Source organism: Homo sapiens, chromosome 1, assembly GCF_000001405.40.
Source record: "Homo sapiens chromosome 1, GRCh38.p14 Primary Assembly".
Classification (NCBI taxonomy): Eukaryota; Metazoa; Chordata; class Mammalia; order Primates; family Hominidae; genus Homo; species Homo sapiens.
In genome coordinates this window covers 13,032,347-13,046,250 of record NC_000001.11, presented here as the reverse complement: position 1 = coordinate 13,046,250, position 13,904 = coordinate 13,032,347, and positions in this window count along the sequence as shown.

Below are 13,904 nucleotides of genomic sequence, written 5' to 3'. Positions count from 1 at the left end.
ACTGCAGCCTTGACCTCCTAGGCTCAGGTGATCTCCCTGCCTCAGTCCCCCTAGTAGCTGGAACAACAGGCATGCACCATCATGCCTGACTTATTTTTGTATTCTTAGTGAAGACCAGGCTTCAACATGTTGCCCAGACTGGTCTTGAAATTCTGGGCTCAAGCGATCCACCTGCCTCGGCCTCCTAAATTGCTGGGAGTGAGCTCTTATAGGCATGAGCCACCGCACCCAGCCTTGAGTTTATTTATTTATTTATTTTGGAGATGGAGTCTCCTTCTGTCATCCGTGCTGGAGTGCAGAGGTACGATCTCTGTTCACTGCAACTTCTGCCTCCAGGGTCCCAGCAATGTTCCTGTCTCAGCCTCCAGAGTAGCTGGGATTACAGGCATGCAACACCACACCTGATTAATTTTTGTATTATTATTATTATTTTTTTTAGTAGAGACAGGGTTTTGTCATTTTAGCTAGGCTGGTCTGGAACCCCTGACCTCAGGTGATCCACCTGCCTCGGCTTCCCAAAATGCTACGACTATAGGCGTGAGCCACCACACCCAGCCTATTTTTTCCTTTACAGCAGTTTTAGATTCACAGAAAAACTAAGCAGAAACTGCAGAGTTCTCATCTACCTTCTTCCCCCTTCAATACACAGCACCCCCACAGGATCAGCACCCACACCAGCACAGAGCATTCATCACAACCAATGAGCCACAGGGACACATCATTATCACCCAATGTCCATAGTTCACATGAGGGATCATTGCTGGTTTTGTACATTCTATGGATTTTAACAAAGGGATAATGACATGTATCCACCATTAGAGCATCATGGACAGTAGTTTTCTTTCCCTAAAATTCCTCTGTCCTCTTCCCATTCATCCCATTGTGCTCCCAACCCCTTGCATCCACTGGGCTTTCTACTGTCTCCTTAGAAAAATGCAAAAGCTTTTTCTGGAATGTCTAACAGGATGAGTCTTTTCAGATTGCCTTCTTTCACTTGTACAATAACGTGCATTTAGGAATTTTTCATGTCTTTTTACAGCTTTATAATAGTTCACTGACTGGATGGATCAGTTTGCTTATCCAGTCACTGACCGAAGGGCAACTTGCTAGCTTCCAAGTTTTGGCGATTATGAGTAAGTTGCTGTAAACATCCAGGTGTGGGTTTACTCACTTCATTAAATATCCAGGAGCATGATTACGGAATTGTAGGGGTATGGTATGTTTTACAATTATTTCTTCTTTCTTGACAATCTCACTTGTTCGATATTGCTGCTAAAGGTCAGGAACTTTGTCTCCATCATCCTGTGTTCCCACTGCTGAGCATGGAACGTGGCACTTGGTAGCAAATGCTGTTGACCACGTGATGCATGGAAACGTTTATCATGGGTATAGTCACTAAATTGCTACCTTGGGGACATCAACATTAGCTCACTACCAATAATATAAATAAATTGGATTATGGAAAAAAATGGCCCTTGTGATACTGTGGATACTCCAGGTGTATCATGAACGTCCAGCAATTGACCAGGCACAGTGGCTCACATCTGTAATCCCAGCACTTGCAGAGACTGAGGTGGGTGGATCACTTCAGTCAGGAGTTCAAGACGACTCTGGCCAATATGATGAAACCCTGTCTCTATTAAAGACACAAAAATTAACTAGGGGGTTGAGCCAAGATGGCCAAATAGGAACAGCTCCAGTCTACAGCTCCCAGCCTGAGCGGTGCAGAAGACGGGTGATTTCTGCACTTCCAACTGAGGTACCAGGTTCTTCTCACTGGGGAGTGTCAGAAAGTGGGTGTAGGACAGTGGGTGCAGTGCACCGAGCATGAGCCAAAGCAGCATGAGGCATTGCCTCTCCTGGGAAGTGCAAGGAGTCAGGGAATTCCCTTTCCTAGTCAAAGAAAGGGGTGACAGATGGCACCTGTAAAATCCGGTCACTCCCACCCTAATACTGCGCTTTTCCAACAGTCTTAGCAAATGGCACACCAGGAGATTATATCCCGTGTCTGGCTCAAAAGGTCCTATGCCCACGGAGCCTCACTCATTGCTAGCACAGCAGTCTGAGATCAAACTGCAAGGCGGCAGCAAGGCTGGGGGAGGGGAGCCTGCCATTGTTGAGGCTTGAGTAGGTAAACAAAGCAGCCAGGAAGCTGGAACTGGGTGGAGCCCACTGCAGCTCAAGGAGGCCTGCCTGCCTCCACAGACTCCATTTCTGGGGGCAGGGCATTGCCAAACAAAAGGCAGCAGAATCCTCTGTAGACTTAAATGTCCCTGTCTGACAGCTTTGAAGAGAGTAGTGGTTCTCCCAGCACGCAGCTGGAGATCTGAGAATGGACAGACTGACTCCTCAAGTGGGTCTGTGACCCCTAAGTAGCCTAACTGGGAGGCACCCACCAGCAGGGGCAGACTGACACCTCACATGGCCAGGTACTCCTCTGAGACAAAACTTCCACAGGAACGATCGGGCAGCAACATTTGTTGTTCACCAATATCCACTGTTCTGCAGCCTCTGCTGCTGATACCCAGGCAAACAGCTTCTGGAGTGGACCTCCAGCAAACTCCAACAGACCTGCAGCTGAGGGTCCTGACTGTTAGAAGGAAAACTAACAAACAGAAAGGACATCCACACCAAAACCCAGTCTGTACATCAGCATCATCAAAGACCAAAGGTAGATAAAACCACAAAGATGGGGAAAAAACAGAGCAGAAAAACGGGAAACTCTAAAAATCAGAGTTCCTCTCCTCCTCCAAAGGAACGCAGCTCCTCACCAGCAATGGAACAAAGCTAGAGGGAGAAGGACTTTGATGAGTTGAGAGATGAAGGCTTCAGATGATCAAACGACTCTGAGCTAAAAGAGGAAGTTCGAACCCATGGCAAAGAAGTCAAAAACATTGAAAAAAAATTAGATGAATGGCTAACTAAAATAACCAATGCAGAGAAGTCCTTGAAGGACCTGATGGAGCTGAAAACCATGGCACGAGAACCACGTGACAAATGTACAAGCCTCAGTAGCTGATTCCATCAACTGGAAGAAAGGGTATCAGTGAGGGAAGATCAAACGAATGAAATGAAGCGAGAAGAGAAGTTCAGAGATAAAAGAATAAGAGGAAATGAACAAAGCCTCCAAGAAATATGGGACTATGTGAAAAGACCAAGTCTATGTCTGACAGGTGTACCTGAAAGTGATGGGGAGAATGGAACCAAGCTGGAAAACACTCTTCAGGATATTATCCAGCAGAACTTCCCCAATCTAGCAAGGCAGGCAAACATTCAAATTCAGGAAATACACAGAATGCCACAAAGATACTCCTTGAGAAGAGCGACTCCAAGACACATAATTGTCAGATTCGCCAAAGTTGAAATGAAGGAAAAAATGTTAAGGGCAACCAGAGAGAAAGGTCGGGTTACCCACAAAGGGAAGCCCATCAGACTGACAGCGGAGCTCTCAGCAGAAACTCTACAAGCTAGAAGAGAGTGGGGGCCTATATTCAACATTCTTAAGAAAAGAATTTTTGACCCAGAATTTCATATGCAACCAAACTAAGCTTCATAAGTGAAGGAGAAATAAATTCCTTTACAGACAAGCAAATGCTGAGAGATTTTGTCACCACCAGGCCTGCCCTAAAAGAGCTCCTGAAGGAAGCACTAAACATGGAAAGGAACAACTGGTACCAGCCACTTCAAAAACATGCCAAATTGGAAGGACCATCGATACTAGGAAGAAACTGCATCAACTAAAGAGCAAAATAACCAGCTAACATCATAATGACAGGATCAAATTCACACATAACAATATTAACCTTAAATGTAAATGGGCTAAATGCTCCAATTAAAAAACACAGACTGGCAAATTTCATAAAGAGTCAAGACCCATCAGTGTGCTGTATTCAGGAAACCCATCTCACATGCAGAGACACACATAGGCTCAAAATAAAGGGATGGAGGAAGATCTTCCAAGCAAATGGAAAACACAAAAAGGCAGGAGTTGCCATCCTAGTCTCGGATAAAACAGACTTTAAACCAACAAAGATCAAAAGAGACAAAGAAGGCCATTACATCATGGTAAAGGGATCCATTCAACAAGAAGAGCTAACTATCCTAAATATAGATGCACCCAATACAGGAGCACCCAGATTCATAAAGCAAGTCCTTAGAGACCTACAAAGAGACTTAGACTCCCACACAATAATAATGGGAGACTTCAACACCCCACTGTCAACATTAGACACATCAATGAGACAGAAAGTTAACAAGGATATACAGGAATTGAACTCAGCTCTGCGCCAAGCGGACCTAATAGACATCTACAGAACTCACCATCCAAAATCAACAGAATATACATTCTTCTCAGCACCACACTGCACTTATTCCAAAAATTGACCACATAGTTGGAAGTAAAGCACACCTCAGCAAATGTAAGAGAACAGAAATTATAACAAACTGTCTCTCAGGCCACAGTGCAATCAAACTAGAACTCAGGATTAAGAAACTCACTCAGTGTGTGATGTTCCCTTTCCTGTGTCCATGTGTTCTCATTGTTCAATTCCCACCTATGAGCGAGAACATGCAGTGTTTGGTTTTTTGTGCTTGTGATAGTTTGCTGAGAATGATGGTTTCCAGCTTCATCCATGTCCCTACAAAGGACATGAACTCATCATTTTTTATGGCTGCATAGGATAGCATTAGGAGGTATACCTAAGGCTAAAAGACGAGTTAATGTGTGCGGCACACCAACATGGCACACGTATACATATGTAACAAACCTGCACGTTGTTCACATGTACCCTAAAACTTAAAGCATAATAATAATAATAAAAGAAACTCACTCAAAACCGCTCAACTACATGGAAATTGAACAACCTGCTCCTGAATGACTACTGGGTACATAACGAAATGAAGACAGAAATAAAGACATTCTTTGAAACCAATGAGAAAAAAGACACAACATACCAGAATCTCTGGGACACATTCAAAGCAGTGTGTAGAGGGAAATTTATAGCACTAAATGCCCACAAGAGAAAGCAGGAAAGATCTAAAATTGACAACCGAACATCACAATTAAAAGAACTAGAGAAGCAAGAGCAAACATATTCAAAAGCCAGCAGAAAGCAAGAAATAGCTAAGATCAGAGCAGACCCGAAGGAAATAGAGACACAAAAACCCCTTCAAAAAATCAATGAATCCGGTAGCTGGTTTTTTGAAAAGATCAACAAAATAGATAGACTGCTAGCAAGACTAATAAAGAAAAGATAGAAGAATCAAATAGATGCAATAAAAAATGATAAAGGGCATATCACCACGGATCCCACAGAAAGACAAACTACCATCAGAGAATACTATAAACACCTCTATGCAAATAAACTAGAAAATCTAGAAGAAATGGATAAATTCCTCAACACATACACCCTCCCCAGAATAAACCAGGAAGAAGGTGAATCTCTGAATAGACCAATAACAGGCTCTGAAATTGAGGAAATAATTAATAGCTTACCAACCAAAAAAAGTCCAGGACCAGATGGATTCACAGTCGAATTCTATCAGAGGTACAAGGAGGAGCTGGTACCATTCCTTCTGAAACTATTCCACTTAATAGAAAAAGAGGGAATCCTCCCTAACTCATTTTATGAGGCCAGCATCATCCTGACACCAAAGCCTCGCAGAGACACAACAAAAAAAGGGAATTTGAGACCAATATCCCTGATTAACATCGATGCAAAAATCCTCAATAAAATACTGGCAAACCGAATCCAGCAGCACGTCAAAAAGCTTATCCACCAATATCAAGTCGGCTTCATCCCTGATCCGCAAGGCTGGTTCCACTTACGCAAATCAATAAACGTAATCCATCACATAAACAGAACCAATGACAAAAACCACATGATTGTTTCAATATGTGCAGAAATGGCCTTCGATAAAATTCAACACCCTTTCAGGCTAAAAACTCTAGATAAACTAGGTATTGATGGAACGTATGTAAAAATAATAAGAGCCATTTATGACAAAACCACAGCCAATATCATACTGAATGGGCAAAAGCTAGAAGCACTCCCTCTGAAAACCAGCACAATGCATGGATGCCCCCTCTCACCACTCCTATTCAACATAGTATTGGAAGTTCTGGCCAGGGCAATCAGGCAAGAGAAAGAAATAAAGAGTATTCAAATAGGAAGAGAGGAAGTCAAATTGTCTCTGTTTGCAGATGACATGATTGTATATTTAGAAAACCCCATCATCTCAGCCCAACATCTCCTAAAGCTGATAAGCAACTTCAACAAAGTCTCAGGATACAAAATCAATGTGCAAAAATCAAAATCATTCCTATACATCAACAATAGACAAACGGAGAGCCAATCATGAGTGAACTCCCATTCACAATTGCTAAAAGAAAATAAAATACATAGGAATACAACTTACAAGGGATGTGAAGGACCTCTTCAAGGAGAACTACAAACCACTGCTTAAGGAAATAAGAGAGGACACTAACACATGGAAAAACATTCCACGCTCATGGGTCTGAAGAATCAATATCATGAAAATGGCCATACTGCCCAAAGTGATTTATAGATTCAATGCTATCCCCATCAAGCTGTAATGGAGTTTCTTCACAGAATTAGAAAAAACTACTTAAAACTTCATATGGAAGCAAAAAAGAACCTGTATACACAACACAATCCTAAGCAAAAAGAACAAAGCTGGAGGCATCACGCTACCTGACTTCAAACTATACGACAAGGCTACAGTAACCAAAACAACATGGTACAGTTATCAAAACAGATATGTAGACCAATGGAACAGAACAGAGGACTCAGAAATAATGCCACACATCTACAACCATCTGAACCTTGACAAACCTGACAAAAACAGCCAATGGGGAAAGGATTCCCTATTTAATAAACGGTGTTGGGAAAACTGGCTAGCCATATGCAGAAAACTGCAAATGAACCCCTTCCTTTCACCTTATGCAAAAATTAACTCAAGATGGATTAAAGACTTAAATGTAAGACCTAAAGCCATAAAAACCCTAGAAGAAAACCTAGGTGATACCATTCAGGACATAGGCATGGGCAAAGACTTCATGGCTAAAACACTAAAACCAATGGCAACAAAAGCCAAAATTGACAAATGGGATCTAATTAAAATAAAGAGCTTTTGCACAGCAAAAGAAACTATCATCAGAGTCAACAGGCAACCTATAGAATGGGAAAATTTTTTGCAATCTATCCATCAGACAAATGGCTAATATCCAGAATCTACAAGGAACTTAAGCAAATTTACAAGAAAAAAACAAACAACCCTGTCAAAAAGTGGGTGAAGGATACTAACAGACAACTCTCCAAAAAAACCATTTATCCAGCCAACAAACATATGAAAAAATGTTCATCACCACTGGTCATTTGATTTGCATTTCTCTAATGCAAATCAAAACCACAGTGAGATACCATCTCATGCCAGTTAGAATGGTGATCATTAAAAAGTCAGGAAACAACAGATGCTGGAAAGGATGTGGAGAAATAGGAATGCTTTGACACTGTTGGTGGGAGTGTAAATTAGTTCAACCATTGTGGAAGACAGTGTGGCAATTCCTCAAGGATCTAGAACCAGAAATACCATTTGATCCAGCAATCTCATTACTGGGTATATATCCAAAGGATTATAAATCCTTCTACTATAAAGACACATGCACAAGTATGTTTATTGCAGCACTATTCACAACAGCAAAGACTTGGAACCAACCCAAATGCCCATCAATGATAGACTGGATAAAGCAAATGTGGCACATATACATCATGGAATACTATGCAGTCATAAAAAATAAGTTCATTTCCTTTGCAGGGACATGGATGAAGCTAGAAACCATCATTCTCAGCAAACTAACACAGGAACAGTAAACCAAAACACCACATAAGTGGGAGTTGAACAATGAGAACTCATGGTCACAGGTAGGGGAACACTACACATCAGGGCCTCTCGGGGTGTGGAGGGCTAGGAGAGGGGTAGCATTAGGAGAAATACCTAATGTAGATGACGGGTTGATGGGTACAGCAAACCACCATGGCATGTGTATACGTATGTAACAAAACTGCACGTTCTGCACATGTATCCCAGAACTTAAAGTGGAAAGAAAGAAAGAAAGAAAGAAAGAAAGAAAGAAAAAAAGAAAGAAAGAAAGAAAGAAAGAAAGAAAGAAAGAAAGAAAGAAAGAGAAAGAAAGAAAGAAAGAAAGAAAGAAAGAAAGAAAGAGATGAAGCAAGAAAGATGGAAGGAAGGAAGGAAGGAAGGAAGGAAGGAAGGAAGGAAAGAGAGAGAGAGAGAGAGAGAAAGAAAGAAAGAAAGAAAGAAAGAAAGAAAGAAAGAAAGGAAAAGAAAAGACAGTGGAGGGGAGGGGATGGGAGAGGAGGTGAAGGGAAGGGAAGGGAAGGGAAGGGAGAAGAAAAGAAATACCCATAAAATAGGAAAGCTGGCTGGTCACAGGAGAAGCATGAAAATATCAAGCAGTGATTTCATATAGCAGCAAGAAAAGAGCTTGTAAAATTAGCTGCAAGAATAAGGATAAGCCTTGACCCATAAGATCCAAACAAGCAGGAAGGGGCTAAGCTGGCTGACACTGAATTGGTCAGACATGGCACTGGGTTTGACCCTTGCCCTACCCCAGGCCTAATTATACACCTATTATGACAGTAAGTCACACACCAGCGCCAGGACGGTTCTGAGAATGCCCATATTTAGTATAAAAATAGTTAACACCTAGCCACGTGCAGTGGCTCATGCCTGTAATCCCAACATTTTGGGAAACTGAGGCAGGCGGATAACCTGGTGTCGGGAGTTTGAGACCACCCTGACCAACATGGAGAAATCTCGTCTCTCCTAAAAATACAAAATTAGCCGAGTGTGGTGGTGCATGTCTGTAACCCCAGCTACTCCAGAGGCTGAGGCAGGAGTATTGCTTGAACACGGGAGGCGGAGATTGCAGTGAGCCAAGATCGCGCCATTGCACTCCAGCCTGGGCAACAAGAGCGAAACTCCATCTCAAAACATAAATAAATAAATAAATAAATAAATAAATAAATAAATAAATGACACCTCAGTTCTAAGAAAACTTCACCATTTTTTCTTAAAATCCTAATGATTATTTCAACCTCTCCTTACAGATCCTATAAAATTAGAAACCCAAACTCTCTTGTACCTGACTCGCTCTCCTGAATAAGCCCTCTCTTGAGTGTGTTCCTTTGCTTTGCAATAGACACTTCTTGCCTTTTGCTTCATTCTGCCTACTTCCTAAACTCTTTCTTGCAGCGGTGACAAGAATGTGGACACTGGTTGGTGATTGAGTCTCTGGGCACCTGGAGACGACCTAAGCACTATGGCAATAGTCAGTCTAAAAATCACACAGGATATCACAATTCACTCTCTGGTTTTCTTGGGGGAAAAATCCAGTAACTTTGGCCCCATATCCCCAAGGGGCATCACTCAGCACAAACTGAGAAGCAGCAGTCCTACCGCTGGGTTGTAAGTATGCGGCTTTATTCCGGGGTTCTCTATTCCATTCCATTGGTCTATGTCTCGACCTTCATACTGGCACCACGCAGTTTTGCTTACTATTGCCTTACTGTATAAATTGAAGTCAGGTAATGTGATGTCTCCATATTTGTTCATTTTGCTTCGGATTGCTTTGGCTCTTCAGGCTCTTCTTCATCTCCATATGAATCTTAGGATTCTTTTTTTAATCTTGTGAAAATGGTGTTTGTATTTTGGTGTATGAAATTTTTAGACTGACGTTTTTAGATTGATGTTTGATGTTTGCAGTTTTTAGATTGCTTTGGGCAGTGTGGTCATTTTCACAATATTGTGTCTGTCAATCCGTGAGCATGGGCTGTTTTTCTACTTTTTTGTTGTCTATGATTTTTTTCAGCAGTGTCTTGTAGTTCATCTCATAGAGATCCTTTACCTAATGGTTAAGTGTATTCCTAGGTTGTTTTTGTTATTGTCACTGTTTTTGTTGTTGTTTTGCAACTATTGTGAAGGGATGGAGTTCTTGAATTGATTCTCAGCTTGCTTGTTGTTGGTATCAAACAGTGGTACTTATTTGTACATATTGATTTTGTACCTGAGATTTAAGTGAATTCACTTATCGCATCTATGAGTCTTGGTGGAATCTTTCCAGTTTTCTAAGCACATATGATCACATCATTGGCAAACACAGGTAGTTTCACTTCCTTCTTTCCAATTTAATTATACTTTATTCCTTTTGCTTACCAGATTGCTCTGACAAAAATTTTCAGTCCTATGTTGATTACAAGTGGATAAAGTGAGGATTTTTGTCTGCTTGTAGTTCCTAGCAGGAATACTTTCAACGTTTCTTCATTCAATATGATGTTGCATGTGGATTTGTCATTTTTGGCTTCTATTATTTTGATGTATGTTCTTTCTAGGCATAGTTTGTGTAAGCGTAGTCTATTATTTTACAAGCTCAGATTTGTATTCTGTTTTATCTGAGTGCATTGTGAGATTTGGCATCTATTTTACCTGATATAAGTACAGCTACTCTTGCTGTTTTTGGTTTCCAGTTGCATGGAATATCTTATTCTACCCATTCACTTTCCATCTACATGTATGTTTATAGGTGAATTAAGTTTCTGGAAAACAGCATATAGTAGGGTTTTATGTTTTTACTCATTCAAAGACCCTATGCCTTTCACTTGCAGAATTGAGATAAATTATATTCATTGTTTTTATTGATAAAGGCTTAGTGCTCCCATTTCATTTCTTGTTTTTTGGTTGTTTAGAGACTTCTCTCTTCCATCCTTTTCTTATTGTCTTTCTTTGTGTTTAAGTAATTTTCTCTTCTGGAATACTTAGAATGTGACTCTTCTGGCCAGAAACCTCTGTGGCTGGGGGCACCTTTGCCAGAGTTTTGATGGGGTTCACTGGGTTCGTTCTGCCCATGCAGCCTGGTAGACTATGCTTGGCTCATGTTTCAAGCCTGGAGCACATGCCTATTAAGGGCGGGTCAGGGCTGGAGTGGTGAGGGGTGTGTGAGTGAGCAGGGGGTCTGGCCACTTTGGACGGTCACCGGCTGCTGCTGCTGCAGCAGTGGGTTGGGCAGCTCCAGGTGTCAGCATGTGTGCCAGATTTCTGCAAGGCTGCAAATGAATCAGGCACAGCACAAACAGCTTCCATGGTTGTCACTGGAATACACAGTGACACCAACACTGAAAGCTTGGAAATGCCAGGAACTGCAGAACCCCCAAAAGGGAGTCACAGCCCTGGCTCAGGAAGCTCCCACATCTGGGCTCCTGGAAGAGTAGTCGCTCTTCTCTTTTTCTCTTCACCTACAATTTGGTGAGCAAGGGGCATGTTTCAGCTTTATTTGTGTTATTGCTCTTTTACCCCACCATTAGGCGGGTCTCAAGTTTTTGTCCTGTGACCAGGAAGAGTGAAATATGCAGACAAGTGGAGGGTGAGTGAGATAAAGAGGAGCTTTATTGAGCAATAGAACAGCTCAGAGACCCACAGTGGGTAACTTCTTTCTGCAGCCAGGGCGTCCTGATGAGTGTTTAGTACTGAGCAGAGAGGAGGCCCTGGGTGGGTGACCCCTCCCTCCTGGCAGGTTATTCCATCATCACCACTGCTCTCAGTAGAGAGAAGGCCCTGGAGTGGGTTGCTGCTCTCTGCAGGAAAGTCATCTCATCATCTCTACAGCTCTCAGCAGAGAAAAGGACCCGGAGGGGGTTGCTTGTCTCTACAGGAAAATCATCCCCACAGTGGGTAGTTCCTCTCTGCCACTGGTCTTCCTAATGTTCTCCCTGAGTCTGGGGTTTTTTTGACATCAGACAGGAGAAAGTATGCACTCATTGGGTCATAGGTGGCCATGAGCAGGCACAGAAAAGGCAACACATGTTCCCACTCTGGTCCATAGGACTGGTGGCCCAGCCCATGGGCTTCAGGCCCTCCTTGATCAGAAGGTGGAGCTTCACCAGTGACCCTCACCTTCCTGTCCAGGATTCTGTCTGCCTCCCACCACCAACCATGGAGCCCAGGTCACTTGTACCAAGGAGCATCCAAAGACCAGTGCTGATCAGTCCGCAACACCCCTCAGCCTCCCTCCTACACTCATCAAGGCCCAAAGTCCAGAGGGTTCAAGACAGCAGTGGGATGGTGCATCAGCACTGACCCGAGTGTGCACAGACCCACCTGGGCTGCGACAGCATCTGGGCTTGACCACAACCACACTCCAAAATTAGAGCAGGTGCCATGAGAGATGAGGCAGTGAGAGCGGACACCCCCAAGCTGCAGGAGAAGGGGGGATCTCCTGGACCCTCGAGAGTACTGGGGGACCTCATTTGGTAACTGTGACCTGGACAACTTCAGTTGCGTCTTTGGAGCTACTGCCCTGCCAACTCAGGAGGACCAGGACTCCCTCTTGTCCCAGGCTCCCATCAGCTCTGAAGTGTACGCAGCCTTGGATGTGCCCTTTCTCTGTGTTTCCCTGCAGAAGTGACAGTTGAGAAGCAGATACACAGCAGCTCTGACCAACCCCGCACAAACAAACCCAATGCTCCTGGGTGTGGTTTAACCAGCCCCAACTGCACTATCATCCAGGAGCTTGCAGGCTAACAGCAGGCAGTGAGCAGTGAAGTAGAGGCTGTGGTGGAGACTCCAGACCTGGGACAAGGTTCCATTTTGCGATGAGAGGGTGTGGGTGGCACAGTTGGCTGCCTCAGGGAAATGGAGCACAGGCCTGGCTCATGACCCAGTCAAGGGGAGTGCCTCCAGGAGTGGTTCATGGTTCCAGGCCCAGCAATCGGGCTGGTCACCCCTATGGGGGGCGGATCTCGGAAACACAGCCTGGGGTGGATCCGCATAGAACCTCCCTTCAAGACCTGGGAGCTTGACACCGTTAGCAGGATGGGCACAGTGACCAGATAGCTGGCCAGGTCCTTGAAGCAGGTGCCATTTCTGCTTCTCACCCTGGCCCCCTGATGGATGGCCCCAGCTATGCCTTCTGGGCCTGGCATCCGCACATCTTGTGCGAGCGTGGCACCACCCCATTCCTATCTTCTCCTTGGGGCCCCTCTCTGCCCGTCCCTTCGCGCCTGACCGAGCTGCTCCCCGTGGGCAAAAAAGTAAGAAAAAAACTGATGACTGAAGAGAAGTAAAGAATGGGTGGAGATCATCTGTATGCCTGTTTTCCTAGCGCTTTGGGAGGCCAAGGTCAGTGGATCACTTGAAGCCAGGATCTTGAGACCAGGCTGATCAACACGGAAAAACCTCATCTCTATTAAAAATACAAAAATCAGCCAGTCTTGGTGGAACGTGCCTGCAGTCCCAGCTATTTGAGTGGTTGAGGCACAAGAATCACTTGAGCCCTGAAGGAAAGGATTGCAATGAGCCCAGATTGCACCACTGCACTCCAGCCTAAATGACAAACTGAGATTTTGTCTCCAAAACAAAACAAAGAACAAGAATGGGTGGGAAATACTTAAAATGATCAAATTTTATTTGGTTGCTTTGATGTTCTACAGCTGAAACTCAATCACAGACAAAGTAGTATTTCATTATTTTTCCATCAGTAACTCAATAACTAGATATTTCTGGTGGATAAATTGCTACAACACGTTAAAAGTTTTCATTCAGGTGCTCTTTATTTCTGATATTCCTTGGTAACCATCCTTGCAGGGATAACATTCTCATCACTGTAGAACTTTAGCTTCTCTTTCCGACTCTGTAGGACACGGGTCCCTGAAGTTCTCATTGATGTCACCTCAACATTTTCCTCCAGCCTTGCCCCCTGCTGTTATGTTTTCTCCCTCACACTGAGCACTTCCCTGTGCTTCCTTTAAGTTGCATGTGGCCTGGACACAGTCACTCATGCCAGTAATCCCAGCACTTTAGGAAGCTGA